Genomic DNA, 22141 nt, shown 5'->3' with positions numbered 1-22141 from the left:
TGAGGCAGGCAGATTACTTGAGGCCAGGAGTTCAAGACTAGCCTAGCCAACATGGTGAAACCCCATCTCCACTAAAAATACAAAAATTAGCCAGGTATGGTGGCACATGCCTGTAATCCCAGCTACTTGGGAGGCTGAGGTACGAGAATCACTTGAATCTTGGAGGCGGAGGTTGCAGTGAGCTGAGACTGTGCCACTGCACTCCAGCTTGGGTGACAGAGTGAGGCTCTGTCTCAAAAAAAACAAAACAAAACAAAACAAAAAAAACAAAAAAGCATGACTCACAGTATGGAAGCACAAAAGTCCTACTGCTTAGGTGATCTTTTTTCCAAATGTGGCTGACCCCTTCCTGATTCCTCTAAATTAAGGACATATGCTCTCATAATGCCTTGTTTCTTCCACTATGATGAATATTATAATATCCTCCATTAGGTTAAGAATTGAATGAGGGCAGGGACTCTCACTATAATATCTCTTGCACCTAGCTCATTACCTAGCACAAGAGATGACTAAACTATGAAACCAAGAGGAACATTGTAAAAATGATCTTTTCACATTCTATTATAAAATTTCCTCACATCATGGAAAGAAATACTTGCTCAATTAGTAGGGAACTTCCAAATGGTGACTATGGCTGCTGTACAATGGTCTACATATCTCATGAGAGGGTCTGCATACATCTACAAACCAGAATATAGTAGCATGGTTCCAGATGATACAAATGTTACAGCCAGAAAAACAGCATCTTAATGATAGCTAACATTTTGTGGGGGGAACTCATTAAGTGGCAGCCATTGTGCTAAATACCATACATATGCCACCTCATTTATTCCTCATGAAAACTCTTTGAGGTAGTATGATACTATCATCATCTCCATTTTACAAATGATAAAACTGAGGCACAGAGAAATGAAGTAATTTGCCTAGGAACATAGCTCATAAATGCTAGGGTTGATATTGGAATCAGGTCTGTCTGATTCCAGAACCCAAATCCTTAACCTGTTCTATTAATAGATGGTTCTATTAAGATTAGACAATTAGTAAGATCCCTTTCATTTTACCACTGAGCTTCTTTTTTTTTTTTGAGACGGCGTCCCACTCTGCACACTATATATGCACATAACAACATGTATCTTGCTTTTACAGTAGATAGCATAGGCTTGTACACTGGTAACAAATAATAAAGGTAATCAATAATACCCTATTTGGATTATTGCCTTCTGAACTTATATCTTTTACTTTATTTTATTTTGAGACAGAGTCTCACTCTGTTGCCCAGGCTGGAGTACAGAGGTGCCATCTCAGCTCACTGCAACCTCTGCCTCCCAGGTTTAAGCAATTCTCGTGCCTCAGCCTCCTGAGTAGCTGGGATTACAGGCGTGCGCCACCAAGCCCAGCTAATTTTTGTACCTTTAGTAGAGGCAGGGTTGCGCCCTGTTCGCTAGGCTGGTCTTGAACTCCTGACCTCAAGTGATCCTCCTGCCTCGGGCTCCCAAAGTGCTGGGATTACAGGCATGAGCCACCATGCCCGGCCCTTCTGAACATTTATTTATTTATTTATTTATTTATTTATTTATTTATTTAATTTATTTATTTATGAGACACTCTCACTCTGTCTCCCAGGCTGGAGTCCAATGGCGCAATCTTGGCTCACTGCAGCCTCCGCCTCCCGGGTTTAAGCGATTCTCATGCCTCAGCCTCCTGTGTAGCTGGGATTACAGACGTGCGCCACCATGCCCAGCTGATTTTTGTATTTTTACTAGAGACAGGGTTTCACCATGTCAGCCAGGCTGATCTCGAACTTCTGGCCTCATGTGATCCATCCACCTTGGCCTCCCAAAGTGCTGCGATTATAGGTGTGAGCCACCGCACCCAGCCTGAATTTTTATTTATTAGCCACTCTTTTTTTAGTGACATAAGGAACTGAATGTAGCTTATTACCTCGTTTCAGTAATGGGCTCAAATGCTAACTTAGAAGATCCTCCCACAATATATCAATTCAGACAGGTCTTCTGTCAGTATATACAATCACGAAATTTGTGTATTTCCTCCCTATTTTATTTAAACATTTGGAGACTCCAACAATGGGATATTGGAGTTTCCTATCCATAATTGCCACGTGGCAAACTTCTTTTTAAATTATTCTTGTATGGCTGGGCATGGTGGATCACACCCATAATCTCAGCACTTTGGGAGGCCGAGGTGGGTAGATAACCTGAGGTCAGGAGTTTGAGACCAGCCTGGCGAACATAGTGAAACCCTGTCTCTACTAAAAATACAAAAATTAGCCAGGAATGGTGGCACACGCCTGTAATCACAGCTACTCGGGAGACTAAGGCAGGAGAATCACTTGAACCTTGGTAGGCAGAGGTTGCAGTGGGCCGAGGTTGAGTCACTGCACTCCAGCCTGGGCCACAGAGTGGGACTCCATCTCAAAAAATAAAAAAATTAAGAAAAAAAAAAAGATTGTTGTAGTAAGGCAGACCCTTTTCCTCTTTTCTACTATAGAAAATAGCTATTATTTATTTATTTATTTTTTAGAGACAGAGTCTCACTTTGTGGCCTAGGCTGGAGTACAGAGGTGCACACTGCAGCCTCCACCTCCTGGGCTCAAGCTATCCTCCTGCCTCAGCCTCCTGTGTTACCAGGACTGCAGAAAAATATTAGCTATTTTTAAATGCTAAGAGGCCTTCAGTTCAGCATACTACATTAGATTTTTACTCTCTGGTAGAGATTCTGATAGATTTAGATTTATAATTCTAATTCTGGTACTGTTTGATCCACCACTACCTAGCAGTGGAACCATGATCTAGTCACTACTCTCGGAATCTCAATTTTCCTTTTCTTAAGATGATTCTATTAAGATTAGACAATTAGTAAGATCCCTTTCATTTTACCACTGAGCTTCTTTTTTTTTTGAGACAGAGTCCCACTCTGTCAGCCAGGCTGGAGTGCAACGGCATGATCTCGGCTCACTACAACCTCTACCTCCTGGGTTCAAGCAATTCTCCTGTCTCAGCCTCCCAAGTAGCTGGGATTACAGGCATATGCCGCCACGCCCAGCTAATTTTTTGTATTTTTAGTAGAGATGGGGTTTCACTGTGTTGCCCAGGCTGGTCTCAAACTCCTGAGCTCAGGCAATCCACCTGCCCTGGCCTCCCAAAGTGCTAGGATTACAGGTGTAAGCCACTGCACCAGGCCCAACCCTGAGCTTCTTTAATTCGGTTCTCTTATAGATAATTGCACTTCCTTTATCTTTCCAAATGAATTATGATCACAAGAAATCATTAATATTCAATACAAACCTCCATCGAGGCTCCGGGACGCCCGTTTACTTGCTGTACGCTCGAAGTGTGGGGCAGGCCTGTCAATTAGAGCACTAGCTTGCCTGGTCTGAGCTTGAGTCCGGCCACTGTATCGAAATTTGGATCCTAGCGCAAGAAATTTGCTTTTGGGAATGGTGTCTGTAGATGTCAATCTGGGGGGAAAATCGTAATAGTCATATTATTATATATTCATCTTATTATTCTAAAACTGTAAAATTAAAAACAAAATCAAGAATAAAAAAGTTTCACAATTCTCAGGGTTTCCATATAGTTACTAAGAAATTTTCAATCAAGTAATCATTATTTTAGTTCTTTGTCATTTCTCAAAGCAACCAGTTGGGACCTATATTAATTTTATTTATAGCTCTATAGAAAGGGCCTTACAGTTTTCAAAATGTTTTTACAGCACTGCAGTATTTTTACTACATCCTTATAATGTTTTCCCCATTTTATAGATATAGGAAACTGAACCTCAAAAAAGAAGTTACTTAAGGTCACACAGCTGTTAGGACATTGGGCAGTAACAAAGTCGAAGCCCAGAGCTCTTTTTCCACTCTCCTGGAATGACAGTTTTGTCAAATGCACTCCAAACTCAATTAATGCCTGGTAATCTATTTAACAGGTTATTTGGTGTATTTTTAAACTCAGTTGGGAACCCCATCTTTTTCCTATATGGTACTCTATGTACTCTTTGTACCATACTGAATTAAAACAATCTATTTCTATGCTGGTCTCCCCTATAAGACTGAATTCTCTAGGAGTAAAGAACAAAGACCATGGCTTATTCATCTTTGTGTTTTTGCTTCTGGCATAGTGCCTGGCATAAATATGATATCCAATAAATATTTGTTGAATAAGGACATAAATTACTACATCAAATACTACCAAAAAGAGAGTATTTTTCCCTTTGAGGTAATTGATTTCAATTCAGCAAACATATACTTTTATGTAAGGGAGCATTAGATTTTAAGGTATTCTCTTATTTTGATGCAATGGATTTAAATATGCCATCCTACAAGTAAGTATACTGGCTGCAGCTGAAATCTATACCACAGTTATTAGACATTCAAAAATCACTTTTTTACTCCTCCTTGCTCTTTTTAAAAAATTCTACTTTTGTGGTTTGATTTTAAAGAAGGAGAGATGATGAAAGCATAAATAAATGTGTTAATGCCAATAATTAAGATTCTTTAATTGGGTGTAAAATGTACCCTCATGTTTTATTTTGAAATAATTGAAATATTAATTTCCTTGAATTTTCTTCTCGTTGACTGTGCTATAGTGCTATTATATGAAAATATAAATAGAAGGAAAAGATATCAGGATTATCTCTCTCTCTCTTTCTCTTAAAGAATCAAGTTTATTTATGAATGAAATGACGTGAGGCCTGGGATTTGCTTCAAAATAATCTCGGAAGTAGGGGGAAGGAGTGGATAGGGATATAGAAGAAACAAGATTGGCTTTGGGGTGATAATTATTGAAGCTGGGTGATAAGTACAAGGGGATTTTATTGTACTGTTGCTACATATGAAATTTTCCATAATAAAGAAACGTTCTTAAAAAGGCAAACTGGGCCGAGTGCAGTGGCTCACGCCTGTAATCACAGCACTTTGAGAGGCCAAGGCGAGTGGATCACTTGTCAGGAGTTCGAGACCAGCCTGGTCAATATGGTGAAACCCGGTCTCTACTAAAAATTTAAAAATTAGCTGGGCATGGTGGTATGCATCTATAGTCCCAGCTACTTGGGAGGTTGAGGCATTGCGCCACTGCACTACAGCCTGGGCAACAGAGTGAGACTCTGTCTCAAAAAAAAAAAAAAGGCAAACTGATAAATAGCCAACTTTCCTTTCAATACAAGTAATTACTTGTCTAAGGTCTGTCTTCTCTACTAGACTGGGTGTTCCACCAGGAGAGAGACTAGAACTATCTTGTAGTATATTCCCAATGCCTAACATGGTGCATACAAGAAGGGTAAGCACATAGAAAATGCTTGGTAAACGAACTCAAGGGGTTAATAATATGGCCTCTTGGCACAGTGGCTCACGCCTGTAATCCCAGCACTCTGGGAGGCCGAGGCGAGCAGATCACTTGAGGTCAGGAGTTCGAGACCAGCCTGGTCAACGTAGTGAAACTCCATCTCTACTAAAAATACAAAAAATAGCCAGGCGTGATGTTGGGCATCTGTAATCCCAGCTACTTGGGAGGCTGAGGCAGGAGAATCACTGGAACCCAGGAGCAGTGAGCCAGGATCACAGACTGCACTCCAGCCTGGCAACAGAGCAAGACTCCATCACAAACAAACAAACAGCAGAGGAAATACTTTCTTCTGTCTTCTGATTATCGGGTACTATTGGGCTTCAAATATGGTTCTGTGTGCTCCCTTTCTGGGTTTCATTAGAGTGAAGCTAACAATCAGCTTCAAGGTTGGCCAGGCACGGTGGCTCACACCTGTAATCCCAGCACTTTGGGAGGCCGAGGTGGGCAGATCATGAGGTCAGGAGATCGAGATCATCCTGGCTAACACAGTGAAACCTCGTCTCTACTAAAAATACAAAAACAAAAACTAGCTAGGTATGGTGGTGTGCACCTGTAATCCCAGCTGCTCAGGAGACTGGGGCAGGAGAATTGCTTGAACCCAGGAGTAGGAGTTTGCAGTGAGCCGAGATCCGCCACTGCACTCCAGCCTGGGCGACAGAGCGAGACTCTGTCTCGAAAAAAAAAAAAAAAAATCAGCTTCACATCTTTAACCTTATAGTATAAAAGCTCCACAAAAAGTAGTCAAGCATTGCTTAGAGAAATTCCATGTGGAAAAAAAAATTAGCAAAAACAAAAAAATAAAAATTCCGTCCGGGCACAGTGGTTCATGCCTGTAATCCCAGCACATTGGGAGGCCAAGGCAAGTGGATCACCTGAGGTCAGGAGTTTGAGACCACCCTGACCAACATAGTGAAAGCGTGTCTCTATTAAAAATACAAAAAATTAGCTGGGCATGATGGCGGGTGCCTGTAATCCCAGCTACTTAGGAGGCTGAGGCAGGAGAATCACTTGAACCCGGGAGGCGGAGGTTGCAGTGAGCCGAGATCGCGCCACGGCACTCCAGCCTGGGCAACAAGAGCGAAACTCCGTCTCAAAAAAAAAAAAAAAAAAAAAATCACACGTGGAGGTAAGTGAGGGTAACTCCCCTTAATCGGACTGACTTTAGCTACAATTAATGCAATCCCAGAGTCCCTGGTAAATACAGGTTCCCATTCCTTACTCCTCTCTTCCTTCTACCATACACAGACAGGTGCTTTGGAAATGTTGAGGCATACTTTTCAACCCAAAGGGAGAGAAATGGATTCATTTTGTCTTGCTTAAGATGATCTCACCTGAGCTAAATAAAAGAGTGCCAGTCATACAATGAAAGGAATTTTAATAGCAGGCTTAAAATAGAAACGTTATAAATAATTTATCCTTGAAAAATACTTAAGTGAGAATAATACCTGAAAAACGTGTGATGTTCTACACAGACTTTCCATAATTTCTTAGCTGCTCGGTAACTGGGAAGTTTGAATCCGATGGTACTTTCATACTGCTCTTGCTACAAAAACACAAATAAACATGGGACATGAAGTATTACATGTGATACAGTACCAGATTACAGTGATACAGTACCAGAGAAATATGGTGCCACAGAAGAGGCCATTGTTACCAATTTAAGGACATAAAATGTCATTTGGAATTTTTTCCTACTTACTGAAAGAAATTCACTCACTGAGGGTGGCTTTTTCCAAAGCAAGAAAGCCAGGGAATGCATCTCATATAATTTAAGCTTTTTTTTTTTTTTCCAGAAAACACACACACATTCATTATACATTTTTCTGAGACACAATTAAGTCACCTCTTGATTGTCCAGACACTGCTTTTCCTTAGTCACTATCTGCATTTGGGACACTGTTCAATGAACAGGGAATGGGATATTGACCAAGTCCTCCAATCAATCAATATTATTATGCAATAGAAATTAGTAATAGGAGCTAAAGATTTTAGTTCAAGCCAGATTTTTAAATCAATTTTTTAAATTGACAAATAAAAATTGTACATACTTATCATCTACAACATGTTGTTTTGAAATATGTATACCTGCCAGGCACGGTGGCTTACGCCTGTAATCCCAGCACTTTGGGAGGCCGAGGTGGGCAGATCACAAGGTCAGGAGTTCAAGACCAGCCTGACCAACATGGTGAAACCTCATTTCTACTAAAAATACAAAAAAAATTAGCCGGGCATGGTGGCACGCGCCTGTAATTCCAGCTACTCAGGAGGCTGAGGTAGGAGAATCACTTGAACCTGAGAGGTAGAGGTTGCGGTGAGCTGAGATGGCGCCACTGCACTCCAGCCTGGGTGACAAAGCGAGACTTCTTCTTCCAAAAAAAAAAAAAAAAAAAAAAAACAACAAACAAACAAACCCAAGAAACACGTATACATTGTGAAATGGCTAAATTGAGCTGATTAACATATGTATTACCTGACACACTTATTATTTTTTTGTGGTGAGAAAACTTAAAATCTAGTCTCTTAGCAATTTTTCAAGAGAACAATACATTGTTATTAATGATAGTCACCATGTTGTACAATAGATCTCTTGAACTTATTCCTCAGATTCTTGAATCATTAAATATTTCTTTTTTCCTTTGATTGATCATTAATTTATCTAGATTCCTCTTATACTGAAGCAAAACATATTCTCCCAGGGTTACTAGAAACACTGTCCTGCTGACCTCTTGCCTCTTTATTTCTACTTTAAGCATATTTTATAAGATGGAAAGGAAACTGACATTTATTTTGAGTGCCTACTATTGCCAGTAACACTATGATTAGATAATATCATCTATATTTTTAGACATGAAGAAACTGAGGTCAGAGAAGTTATTTGCTCAGACTGACAGCTATGAAATGACAGAACCAGATTTTTACCCTCTTCACCATACCATGCCACTGCTAAATCATCTACTGCTGCCACAATACTTTTTCTCAAAATCCTGTTGTTCCTGATTGCCTTCTAAATAAGAATTCTACATTTTTAGAAGCTAAGGATTTCCCATTTTCATATTAACGTGTGTGAGGGATGAGATTCTAATTTGCTGTTATATTCCTAGTCCCTAGAATAGTGTCCAACACAGGAAAGCTCTCAATAAATATTTGTTGATTGAATAACTCTTGAATTTGAAATTTTAAGGGAAGACACTGACTGCTCTGTGCTAGGCATAGGTAAAATAATTATGGTACAAAATAAATGCTTCTATGGTAATCCCTATCCAAGATTTTTAAGGCTCCACATCCAGAATTTGCAGGCACAAATAATTAGCCATTATTCACCAGCAGATGGTGATATATACACACAAAAGCCACCTTAGGTTAGTATCATTTCCTATATAGAACTTACACAGCTGTCATCTCATTTGATCTTCAAATAACTATGATGGAGAAGGTATTATCCTGCCCAAATGACAAGGAAGCTGAGCCTTAGATTTGTCCAGGTCTTTTGCTTAGTATGTGGCAGAAAAGAAGTCAGAACTTTTTAAAAAACTTTAATTCCTACTTAAACAATTTTATGCTATTCCATAATGGCTCTTCAATACAAAAGTTAAATTTGGCCAGCATTAGTATATCCCCAAACCAACTAATAAATGAATTAACTGGTACAAAGTTGAACATCCAACTCTTATTAAAAATCTAGAACTTGGCCCTAGAACTCACTCTCAGTAACCACGAGAAGCTATGCATACAAATAAATTTTAATTATATGAGATAAAGGATTGGTGATGCCAAACATGAGTAATTTATCCCTATAAATAATTTTAAAATCTCATGCTACTCAATTTAAAAATATTTTTCCATTAAGTTTTTGCTTGGCGTAAACAAGGAACAAATGTATCAGTCCAAGTTTAACTTTTTGCAATGGTATATTTACTTACAAAAAGTGAAATGTCCAGAAGACCAGTAGTAAGGAAAAGAAGTAGCATCACAGGACTGATCAACTTAGAAAACGGAATTATCAGCCCTTCAATAGTTAACTATAGAGAGACTTCTCAGATGACTTAATAAGGAAAATGGAAATGTAGATATTTCAGATACAGACTGTGTCTGGTTTGGGAGGAAGGAAATATAAATTCTGTACCTCTCCAGGCCGAATCTTGATGAAAAAGCTACTACGTTTATAAGAAATCTTCAGCACTTTGGGCCAAGGGAAGCGGTTAATTCTCAGCTTATCTTTGTAAACCAGAAGGCCACTAGAGCAGACACCTAGGATGATATCTACTCCTTCCAAGTCCTGAAAAAGAAAAATGTTAGGATTTCAGTCTGGAGCAAAGTACTCAATACACTGTTGACTATTACTAGATAATCTGAAGATAACAACCAAAAACAGTTACAAAACATACAATGAAAAATAAAGCTCAGCCTAACAGTTATAATTTATGGACCTATTATGTTTAAATCAGCAGTCATGACTTCCTGGAGAGCAGGGCTTAGAGCTATGTATACTACCAAATATACACGCACAATTATTAATTCTTGTTTTTTTATGATAAAGTGTTAACAGCTCCAGAAATGATGTTAAATGTAGGAGTTGACTCTATTCCTATATAAACTCAGCATAAGACAATCTTAGGTTCTTAAAATTGATGTTAAGTATATTAAATTAAAAATATGATCCCTAAGTCAAGAAGTTACATTAAGGCACAATGAAATCATATTTATATGCCTCTTTATTAAAGACAACTTTAAAAAATTAAATATGTAATATTAATCATCTATGTCTATAATTCAAAGAAAATAAATTTCACCTAAGTTAGTCCCTACAGCTAACAGTTTGTTTAGCTAAGTAATCAAAACACAAAGTTAAATGCTTCTTGACTACTCTTTCCCCCAAAATGAGTATAGAGAAATATATTAGTGCCTACACGTGTTATAACAGAGAAGCAGGAATTACATACAGTTCCAATTCAGTGACTATGTAACTGAGAATTTCCCAGAAGATGCCCTCTTAAATTTTTAAAGCTTGTGGGTATAACTACATTTCACTTTGGAGAAACAATTTGCTTTACAATATTTGGGAAGGGAACATGCTGCCTGACTCCATCAATACCTGAATTGACACCAGCTTCCAGCAGGAATTGTGAAGCAAAATCTAACCATTTCAGTTTTAGAAACATACCTAATCTGATGTACTGATCTTCCTACAATATACTTTAGAGATTCATAGAAGTTGTAGTACCCAGCCCAAAATAATCCAGAACAACTTTTTTCTTTTTTTTTTTTTTTTTTAAGACAGAGTCTCAACTGTCACCCAGGCTGGAGTGCAGTGGTGCAATCTAGGCTCACTGCAGCCTCTACCTCCTGGGCTCAAGCAATCCTCCCACCTCAGCCTCCTGAGTAGCTGGGACCACCAAAGGCACGTGCCACCATGCCTGACTAATTTTTTGTATTTTCTATGGAGACGGGATTTCACCATGTTCCCCAGTCTGGTCTTGAATTCCTGAGCTTGAGCGATCGGCCGCCTCAGCCTCCCAAATTGTTGGGATTACAGGTGTGAGCCACCACGCCTGGCACTGGACCTCCCCAGCAACTTTAGTAGCTGAAGAAGAGAGAAGTAAGGAGACTTTCCTTAAGGATTCATTCTGTTAGGCTGTATTAGGTAGAACTAGGATTAAAGCTCAAGTTTCCAGGGCCCTACCCAAGTGGTTTTTGAATGAGCCACTGTGGTTCATTCAGTGTGCATCAGAACAACCTGGAGAACTTAAAATGGATTGCTGAGCTCCACCTCCAGAGAGTCTAACTCAGCAGGCCTGGGATGGGGCCTGAAATGTGCATTTCTAACAAGTTCCTAGGTGATGTTAAATGTTGCTGGCTCAGACACCATACTTTGAGAACCACTACTCTAGGCCAGTGGTTCTCAGATTCAGGCATGAATTAGAATCATTTGGGTGCTCATTAAACCAAGACATTCTAGAACCTCGCCTCCAAATTAATTCCATACATCTGAGAGAAGCTCAGGGATCTACATATTTAATGAACATCCTCAGTGATTCGATGTAGGTGATGCTGGCTGTGAAACAGGACTTGCTGCCCACTGCTCTATATTTTCAAATGTTACTGCATGTTAGGAAAATCAATTTCTTTTTCTCTAGGGGCTATCTTTTGATCTTAACAGTAGCTTGGATATGAAACTTTATTCTGAGGGTGGAATTGCTATGGGGCAAATTCAATTGATACAGTTGACTGATTTAACTGATACACTTAAAATGCTAACAAGAGGCCGGGCACGGTGGCTCACGCCTGTAATCCCAGCACTTTGGGAGGCCGAGGCGGGCGGATCACGAGGTCAGGAGATCGAGACCACGGTGAAACCCCGTCTCTACTAAAAATACAAAAATTAGCCAGGCGTGGTAGCTGGCGCCTGTAGTCCCAGCTACTCAGGAGGCTGAGGCAGGAGAATGGCGTGAACCTGGGAGGCGGAGCTTGCAGTGAGCCGAGATCATGCCACTGCACTCCAGCCTGGGAGACAGAGCAAGGCTCCATCTCAAAAAAACAAAACAAAACAAAAAAAAGCTAACAAGAAGTACTATTTCTCTCTCTTTTTTTTTTTTGAGACGGGGTCTTGCTCTGTCGCCAGGGCTGGAGTGCAGTGGCACAATCAGGGCTCACTGTACGCTCGATCTCCTGGACTCAAGTGATCCTCCCGCCTCAGCCTCCCCAGTAGCTGGGACTACAGGCATGAGCTGCTGTGCCCAGTCTACTATCTCTTTTGAATGTTTTAAAATACCCCAGATGTTGTTAAAAAGTATTATATGACACAGATGTGATACATACATAACAGACATGTATCATATAATATCTTCCACATGCATATTAATAAAGGGCAAAGTTATCATTACCTTTGCTTTATGAAGATCAACTCCATACATAGACAACTTTTTGGCATTCTCAAGAAACTCCAAGTCAGCCTGAGCTGGAGTCATGGACCTTTGATAGAATAAAAACATAAAATTCTTTCAGTGTTATAGTGTCATCATTTACAGTAACATTTATATATTCACTGTATTTTAAACACATGAACATATACATACCACTATATTAAGATATATTTCCTAGTCCTGAAAGTAGGTTATTATGGAACAGAACCCATCACTGCCTGTATCTAAATAATTAAAATATACCTTAGAAAAAGACAATGTGAGCAAACAAAAAGTCACCAAAAAGCTGCAAAAAAAATTTTTTTAATCCTACTAAACAATTTCCTTAAAGCTATTTCATCTATCATTAGTTCTGCCCCCTTCTCTTCACTCTTTTTCTCCGACATACATAAGCTCCTCCCGCTAATTTTTCTTGCCAAGGAGATGACCAAATTAAATCCTCAGAGGGCATGGTGTAATTTACAATATCCTCTTATAGCTGCCTTTTTCTCTCCATACCCCTGAATTGAGTTATGGAAATTAAACAAGAGGGCAGCTGATGTTACTTAACTGAGGACTCTTAATCGGGGCAGGCTTGATGAAAAGAAAATTTCTGGTAACAGATGGTGTCCTGCCCACTGATATAAACAAAATAAACTGGTTCACGGAAGCACATAGATAATGGGGCTGTTTTCTCTGTTATTAATATGTCTTCATTACCAGGCATATAATGAATTAGATTTGTTTGAAAACAGTCAGTCTCACTGTCTAAACACTCGCTGTGACAGTCTTTTCTTCTCCTCTATAAATTTCCCGTCTTTTGAAAAGTGTTCATGAGCTGTTATATAGAGCTTTCAAAGACAAAAATATCACTCCTAATGCTGCACAATTCAGACCAATCAAGTATAACTTAACAGTAACAATAATGCAGGCACATCCCCAAGGAAAAAACAGTAAACGCCAGTTTCCCATAAGACTGCCTCAAGCTACAGAAAGCTGCAGGGGTCTCTTCATTTCACAAGGAAAAGTCTCTTCCAAATCCATCTGTCTTTACCCTAATTAAAAGGACAAAGGATTCCTTGGAACAACAACCACCAAAATATGTATACAACAGGAGACAGGGTGCAGATTTGCTACTGATTTAGCCTTCATGAACAAACTTATTTTCACAAGCACTGAAGCATCACACCTAATTCTATTTATTAATGAACCTGAAATTGAAGATTAAAAAAAGGAGAATGGGAAAATTAGCCCCTTATGCAAGTCTGTATATTCAAGTCATTAAAAACATTTCAGGAAAGTTTTGTAGTTTTTAATTTTTTTCCATCTAAGTTACATTTTTTTCTAGTTAACATTACTCCTATTTTATGTTTCTGTTGTTGTTACTGTTATTGACGAGATGAATTTTAGAATTTTTTTTTTTTTTTTGAGACAGGGTCTCACTCTGTCACCCAGGGTGCAGTGCAATGGTGCAAACACAGCTCACTGCAACCTCCACTTCCCAGGCTCAAGTGATCTTCCCACCTCAGACTCCTGAGTAGCTGGGTCTACAGGTGCATGCCACCATGTCCAGCTAGTTTTCTTATTTTTCGTACAGAGGGGGTCTCAGTATGTTGCCCAGGCTGATCTTGAACTCCTAGGCTCAAGCCATCCTCCAGCCTCAGCCTTCCAAAGTGGTAGGATTACAAGCGTGAGCCACCACTCCCGCTGAATTTTAGGATTTTGAAGCTGGAAAGGAGCTTGAAGTTTAAAGAGTACAATAATTTCATTTTGCTGTTGAAGAAACAGGTTCTCAGGGATCACATTACCACAGGCAAGTTAGGACCCTTAGTTGAGACAGCAGACTTAAGTCAAAACTCAAGTCACAATACTTGGGCTGGAATCCAGGCTTCAGTACTTGTAAGTGGCCAGCCAGTGTCTCCCTCCATCTCCTCTATAAAACGAGAATCATAATAATGCGTATTTCTAGATACTAGGATAGGCAATGACTTTGTTTTTGCTGAATGAATGAATGTTACTATTGGGATCGAAATGAGATGATGGTTGTAAAACTGCTTTATAGACATGAATAGTTATTATTGCAGCCTTAGCTTTCTGATAGTCCAGTGGTTCATCTACACACAAATCATAAAATTAAGAGACACAATTTGGATCACTTGAATTTGAAGACAAATTTTAAAACATTAAGTAAAGCAATTATGATAAAATCTTCCCTATACTCACTCCTCCTACCCTACCCTAAGGGACATTAATAGGGTCAATCAATTTGAATACAGATTTAAATTTCACAGTATGTAGTTACATGCTTCTATAAATAAGCATGCTTTAAAAAATAAGGAGAGATCAGGCCTGGCGCGGTGGCTCACGTCTATAATCCCAGCACTTTGGGAGGCCGAGGCAGGCGGATCACCTGAGGTAGGGAGTTCAAGACCAGTCTGACCAACACGGAGAAACCCCGTCTCTACTAAAAATACAAAATTAGCTGGGCGTGGTGGCGCATGCCTGTAATCTCAGCTACTTAGGAGGCTGAGGCAGGAGAATCACTTGAACCTGGGAGGCAGAGGTTGTGGTGAGCCGAGATTGCGTCATTGCACCCCAGCCTGGGCAACAAGAGCGAAACTCCGTCTCACAAATAAATAAATAAGGGGAGATCTTTAAAACTTGTTAGTTGAAAATAATATTTATATTTGAAGTTTGGCTGATGTTTGCATTTAAAATTTTTTACCTAATTTTTAGCCAGGCTCAGTGGCATGCACCTATAGTCCTAGCTACTCTGGAGGCTGAGACAGGAGGATTGCTTGAGTCTATGAGCCTAGGCGACATAGAGAGACCTTGTCTCAGCCAGGCGCGGTGGCTCATGCCTATAATCCCAGCACTTTGGGAGGCCGAGGTGGGCGGATCACCTGAGGTTGGGAGTTTGAGACCAGCCTGACCAACATGGAGAAACCCCATCTCTACTAAAAGTACAAAATTAGCCGGGCGTGGTGGCACATGCCTGTAATCCCAGCTACTTGGGAGGCTGAGGCAGGAGAATCGCTTGAACCTGGGAGGCAGAGGTTTCGGTGAGCCGAGATTGCGCCATTGCACTCCAGCCTGGGCAACGAATGAAACTCCATCTCAAAAAAAAAAAAAATGTTGAGAGACCTTGTCTCTAAAAAAAGAAAAAGAATAATTTTAGCTGGGTGCAGTGACCTGTAGTCACAGCTACTTGGGAGGCTGAGGCAGGTAGATTGCTTGAGTTTAAGGCTGTAAGTGAGTTACAATCACACCTGTAAATAGCACTGCACTTCAGGTTGTTCAGGTTGCACAACATAACAAGGTCCCTTTACAATTCTTAAAAAAATGTAATTCTAACTTAAGAATTTTTTTTTTTTTTTTGAGATGGAGTCCCACTCCGTTGCCCAGGCTGGAGTGCAGTGGTATGATCTCGGCTAACTGCAACCTCTGCCTCCTGGGTTCAAGTGATTTTTCTGCCTCAGCCTCCCAAGTAGCTGGAACTACAGGCACCCGCCACCATGCCTGGCTAATTTTTGTATTTTTAGTAGAGATGGGGTTTCACCATATTGGCCAGGCTGATCTCAAACTCCTCACCTCGTGATCTGCCCAACTCAGCCTCCCAAAGTGCTGGGATTAAAGGTGTGAGCCAAAAAAAATTTTTTTTAAGAGACAAGGTCTTGCTCTGTCACCCAGACTGGAGTGCAGTGGCACCATCATGGTTCACTGCAGCCTTGACCTCCCAGGTTCAAGTGAACTCTTGGGCTCAAGCAGTCAGCCCACCTCAGCCTCTGAAAGTGCTGGAATTACAGGCATGAGCCACCATGCCCAGCCTTAAAATTTCAATTTATTTATTTATGTCAGTATGGACTCACGAATTTTCATTTTATTCAATGCAGTATATCAATTATTTTCCTTATCTATTTTGATGCTTAAATTGCCCCAGATTTGGTAGTGGGAACCTCTCCAAGCTGGATTCTGTGTCCTTCTGACCATTTCCCATCATTCTTCCAGTACTTCCTTCTGACACAATGTAGAGTTAGAGTATGTATCTGTGTATGTATCTACCTTTTTACATCTATATTTCTATATCTACCTATCTATATATTGGAAACCACAAGTTCACATTGAAGCCTCCAGTTTTAACGCAATATCCTAACAGGGTTCATTTTAGTTTCTCCCTTTCCATAATTTGTGTCTCACTTTACTGACAGTGAGAAACCTGGCTCCCATTACCCTGAATACATTGACTAATTTGATCAATCCCTCTGTATAATCATATAATCTCTCATTGCAGCCACAAACCCCTACTGTATGTGGATGTCCTCCTCACTCTACTTGAACCCTGAATTCCCCATTCTGGGCTACTCAGCACACGTGGATGTCCTCCTTACCTCACCAGGGTTCTGACTGCTGGTGTGGGACCATCTCTTCACCCTGCTTAGGCTTTGACACTGTGCATCAAGCACCACCCTGTATGGATGCCCTCCACATCCTGTGTAGGCTTTTCCCCCACATGGATGCCCTTCTTGCTCTGCTTGGCTTCTGAAACCCACCACCAGGTGCCCACACATGACTACCATCCTCATCCACTTGAGCTCTGACTCTTCATGCCAGGCTGCCCTCCAACCCACGGACCCACTCCTCACTCTGCTTAGGCCTCAATATCCCAAGCCAGACTGCCCCTCTGCATGGATGACTACCTTGCTCTGCCCCACCTAATGTTGCCAGAAAGCTTTATCTGATTATAAAAATCATACACATTCACTGTATAAAATTTGGAAAATATCATTAAAAGCATAGAAAATATATAATCTCACCACCCACAGACATCTGTGCATGTTAACACAACACATATATTTGAAAGATTAATATCACAAAATAAATTATTTTTTGCCTTAAATTTTAATGATCAAGGTTTTCCCTAAAATTTCCAAGACCTTTGAGCGTCATAACAAACCAGCTGGGAAGAGATTAGATACCTCTAAACCATTAAAAGTACTGTCTTGAATTTTTTCAGTACCACCTAATAATTTACTACTTGTAAGTACTGCAGCTTACAAAAGTACCTGACCAGGAAGCTCCGGCACTGGTTAAAGCTCATTAAAAAGAGAAGTTACAATAAAGTTTCCCTGCATTTATTTCAAGCAAGTGCAATCAGGATAGAGCTATTCGGTGTGTTCCAGTGTTATGTGACTCCCTTTTAATAATGTTTGTTATATCTCCTAATTAAGGATTGTGATTTCAAAGAATTAAGTGGGGGACAATAGACAAGTTTACATACCTTCCTAATACCAATAAATGGAGGGCAATTAATTTTAAAGCTTGATTTGCTAGTGTAAATTTAAAGTGTTAATTATAGCTTTAAAATCCCAGTCTGGGCAAAGGGCCACTACTAAGGATTCCATTTATGCAGGCTGTCTTCTATCTGAGAAGTGCTTGTACTGCACTTTCCAATGCATAGTAAAATGCATATGCCTCAGTGGAAGTTTCTTTGGATTAGTTAAAATGCCATGTTGTTGGACATAATTAAATTGTTCCTTTGGGTTTGTGAGGGTTGCAAATCTTTCCAAAAAGGAGCAAGTAAATTCCAAGATGACAGACTCCTAAATGTTCTGGTCACGGCGATCCATTATTGCTCAATTTCTACCACATCTCTAACAGAATATCAGCTGAACTATATCCATTTGTCCCTTGAGATTGTTTCACCTAATTGGGTTTACATTCTGATAAAGGTTAAAACTAGTTCTCCAAACCAAGACACATACATTCATCACTTGTGAAGTGAGGATAAGAATTTTTTTTTATTTATATTTATTTATATTTTTTATTTATTTATTTTTTGAGACGGAGTCTCGCTCTGTCGCCCAGCTGGGGTGCAGTGGTGCGATCTCGGCTCACTGCAACCTCCGCCCCTCCAGGTTTAAGCAATTCTCTGCCTCAGCCTCCGGAGTAGCTGGGATTACAGGCGCGTGCCACCAAGCCCGGCTAATTTTTTGTATTTTTAGTAGAGACAGGGTTTCACCATCTTGACCAGGCTGGTCTTGAACTCCTGACCTCGTGATCCACCTGCCTCAGCCTCCCAAAGTGCTGGGATTACAGGTGTGAGCCACCACGCTCGGCCTTTAATTTATTTATTTTTAGATGAAGTCTTACTTTGTCACCCAGGCTAGAGTGCAGTGGCATGATCTCGGCTCACTGCAACCTCCGCCTCCTGGGTTCAAGCAATTCTCCTGCCTCAGCCTCCAGAGTAGTTGGGACTACAGGTGCGCGCCACCATGCCCAGCTAATTTTTGTATTTTCAGTAGAGATGGGGTTTCACCATGTTGGCTAGGATGGTCTCAATCTCTTGACCTCGTGATCCACCTGCCTTGGCCTCCCAAAATGCTGGGATTACAGGTGTGAGCCACCGTGCCCAGCCAAGAATTATTATTATCATAGCAGATATTTGAACTCTCACTATATACTGTCATTGTACTAATCACTTTATATAAATTTTCTGATTTAACAATTAGAAAATTCACATTATTGCCCTTATTTTTCAGATGAAAAAACTGAAGCTTAGAGAGCTTAAGTAACTTACCAAGAGGCACACAGTTAACAAGGAATGGAGTCTGAATTTAAAGAAAGGCTAACTCCAGAGCCCAAGATTTTAACTATGGTGCCCTATTGCCCCAACTCAGTGGTTCTCAAACTTTTTTGATCTCAGGACCTCTTTATTCTCTTAACAATTATTGTAAAAATTATTGAGGACCCTAAAGAGCTTTTCTTTCTTTTTTCTTTTTTTTGAGACGGAGTTTTGCTTTTGTTGCCCAGGCTGGAGTACAATGGCATGATCTCGGTTCACTGCAACCTCTGCCTCCCGAGTTCAAGCGATTCTCCTGCCTCAGCCTCCTGAGGAGCTGGGATTACAGGCATGTGCTACCATGCCCGGCTGATTTTGTATTTTTAGTAGAGATGGGGTTTCTCCATGTTGGTCAGGCTGGTCTTGAACTCCCGACCTCAGGTGATCTGGCTGCCTTGGCCCCCCAAAGTGCTGGGATTACAGGCATGAGCCACTGTGCCCGGTCAAGAGCTTTTCTTTATGTGGCTTATAGCTATTTGTATTCACTATATTAAAATTGTTTTAACTAAGGAAAATTTAAAATGTTTATTAAATTTCTAAAAAGTAACAGTAATCCAGCCAAGCACGGTGGCTTACGTCTGTAATCCCAGCACCTTAGCAGGCCAAGGCAGGCAGATCACCTGAGGTCAGGAGTTCAGGACCAGCCTGGCCAACATGGTGAAACCCTGTCTCTGCTAAAAATACAAAAGTTAGCCAAGTGTGGTGGCAGGCACTTGTAATCCTAGCTACTCGGGAGGCTGAGGCACGAGAATCACTTGAACCAAGCAGGCGGAGATTGCAGTGAGCCGAGATCACACTATTGCACTCCAGCCTGGGCGACAAGAGTGAAACTCCATTTCAAAATAAAATAAAATAATGGTAATCCCATTACTTTTTAACATAAATAACATAATTTCTGAAAAATACCAATATTTTCTGAAACAGTGATGAAAAGGTAACTTTGCTTTACATATTTACAAATCTCTTCAATGTCTGGCATAGAAGACAGCTGAATTCTCCCAACTGCTTCTGCATTCAATCTGTTGCAATATATTGATTTGGCAGTATGTGAAGAAATCTGATCTCACACAGACATGTAGTTTGAAAAGGGGTGACTATGAATTTAAAACACTCTTTTTTCTTTTTTTTTGAGATGGAGTCTTGCTCTTGTCGCCCAGGCTGTAGTGCAATGGCACGATCTTGGCTCACTGCAACCACCGCCTCCCAGGTTAAAGTGATTCTCCTGCCTCAGCCTCCCAAGTAGCTGGGATTACAGGTGCCCACCACCATGCCTGGCTAATTTTTGTATTTTTAGTAGAGACAGGGTTTCACCATATTGGCCAGGCTGGTCTCAAACTCCTGACCTTGTGATCCGCCTGCCTCGGCCTCCCAAAGTGCTGGGATTACAGGCATGAGCCACTGCGCCTGGCCTAAAATATTCTTTTCTGGTATTACACTAAAACTTATCAATGGCAGTTTCTTTTTTTTTTTTTTTTTTTATTATATCAATGGCAGTTTCTTAAAGATAATTTTCAATGTGAAATGTAGAAACTTATCAATGAACTTTTTGTACTGTTACATTAAAATCCATTGGTCTATCTTGCATTTTGAATGGATCTTTTACCTGTGCATGATTTTTTTAACATTGTGCATTTCTAATCTGAAAAATACTTGTTCACCAAGTTATGAAAATCTTCCAAACCTTGATATAATATGTGTATAAAAAAACACATTCATTAAAATAACCACTGACCTTAGCAGAAAAGTCTTTAAAAGCTGTCAAGATCATGGGGATATATAAAAGTTTTCCAAAATTCCAATTTTTACCAGAAAGCTTGAATTTTGTCATTAGCAACAAATACTGTCAGTTGCTTTCCTAAAAGTACTAGCTCATTTCATTTTTGAGAAAATGTGTGTCAAATAACCGAGTCCGAATAATCATAGTTTGTCATTTTTTCAAGAAAACATGGTGTTTTATAGAAAAGATGGCCACCGGGCGCGATGGCTCATGCCTGTAATCCCAGCACTTTGGGAGGCCCAGGCGGGCGGATCACGAGGTCAGGAGATTGAGACCATCCTGGCTAACACGGTGAAACCTTGTCTCTACTAAATATACAAAAAATTAGCTAGGCGTGGTGGCTGGCGCTTGTAGTCCCAGATACTCAGGAGGCCGAGGCAGGAGAATGATGTGAACCCGGGAGACGGAGCTTGCAGTGAGCGGAGATCACCCCACTGCACTCCAGCCTGGGCGACAGAACAAGCCTCCGTCTCAAAAAAAAAAAAAGAAAAAAAAAGATGGCCAATTCAGCTCACAACTCAATTGCACAAGTGCTTTTCCTTGAGACAACTGTTGTGCTTCAGTATGCAGCAAAAATGCTTTGTGTGTACTTCCCATCTAATCACACAGAATATTAAATAGAAATGTATTCAAGACTTAATAAAATTAATACTTTTTGCTGCTTCGTTAGGAAAATTCTAAGGTAAGCTGGCTTTCTTGCACTTCCAGCTGCAAGTGCATGCTGGAGAACAATATAGTGACTCTTAGTACAGTTTGCTCCAACTGCCTTGATTTGTGCCCCACCCATTTCAACAGAGTGAAAAAAGCAAATAACATCTTAGCATTATTACAAAAATAATTTTGACTTCATGGACCCCTTGAAAGAATCTTGAAGATCTCCAGGGTCTGTAGACCACCTTTGAGAACCGTTGTCCTAACTCAAAGGGTGGTTATAAAGATTAAACGTGATGTTTTACATAAAGTGCTTATCATAGTATCTTGCACATAATAATAGATGCACAATAACTGGCTACTTATTATGATTATTATGTAACAATTCTATAAAGGAGAATCAAGCATTGGATGAGAGACTATAAGTCCTCTCAAACCTGAGATTCTATTATGATCAGATAACCATTAAAAGACTCATTAGGCCGGGCGCAGAGGTTCATGCCTGTAGTCCTAGCACCTTGGGAGTCTTGAGGCTGGAAGTTTGAGATCAGCCTGGACAACATGGTGAGACTACCATCTCTACAAAAAAATTTAAAAATTAGCTGGGCATGGTAGCACACACCTATAGTCCTAGCTACTCAGAAGGCTGAGATGAGACGATCACTTGAACCTAGGAGATTGAAGCTGCAGCGAGCTATGATCACACCACTACACTACACTCTGGGCAACAGTGACATTCCATCTCTCTTTAAAAAAAAAAATCAGAGACAGATTTCAAGTATCAATCACAATCTGACATCATCATTTTCTGCGGTTCAGCTCTATGGCAGCA

The 22141-nt window shown here is 40.3% G+C and overlaps 1 protein-coding gene across 70 annotated transcripts in view; it reads right to left on the bottom strand.

Moving 5' to 3' along the window:
* The window catches only part of EPB41 (erythrocyte membrane protein band 4.1), a 232942-nt gene that overhangs the window by 77310 nt on the left and 133491 nt on the right, over positions 1-22141 (bottom strand). For all 70 annotated transcript variants that reach the window (NM_203342.3, NM_001166005.2, NM_203343.3 and 67 more), the window contains 4 exons: positions 12245-12332; positions 9487-9639; positions 6809-6906; positions 3306-3478 (listed from right to left, as the gene is read on the bottom strand). In NM_203342.3, coding sequence (NP_976217.1) covers positions 3306-3478; positions 6809-6906; positions 9487-9639; positions 12245-12332 — 512 coding nt within the window. The remainder of the gene's footprint in view (positions 1-3305; positions 3479-6808; positions 6907-9486; positions 9640-12244; positions 12333-22141) is intronic.

This window comes from Homo sapiens, chromosome 1, assembly GCF_000001405.40.
Source record: "Homo sapiens chromosome 1, GRCh38.p14 Primary Assembly".
Classification (NCBI taxonomy): Eukaryota; Metazoa; Chordata; class Mammalia; order Primates; family Hominidae; genus Homo; species Homo sapiens.
This window is presented reverse-complemented; position numbering and strand designations above follow the sequence as displayed.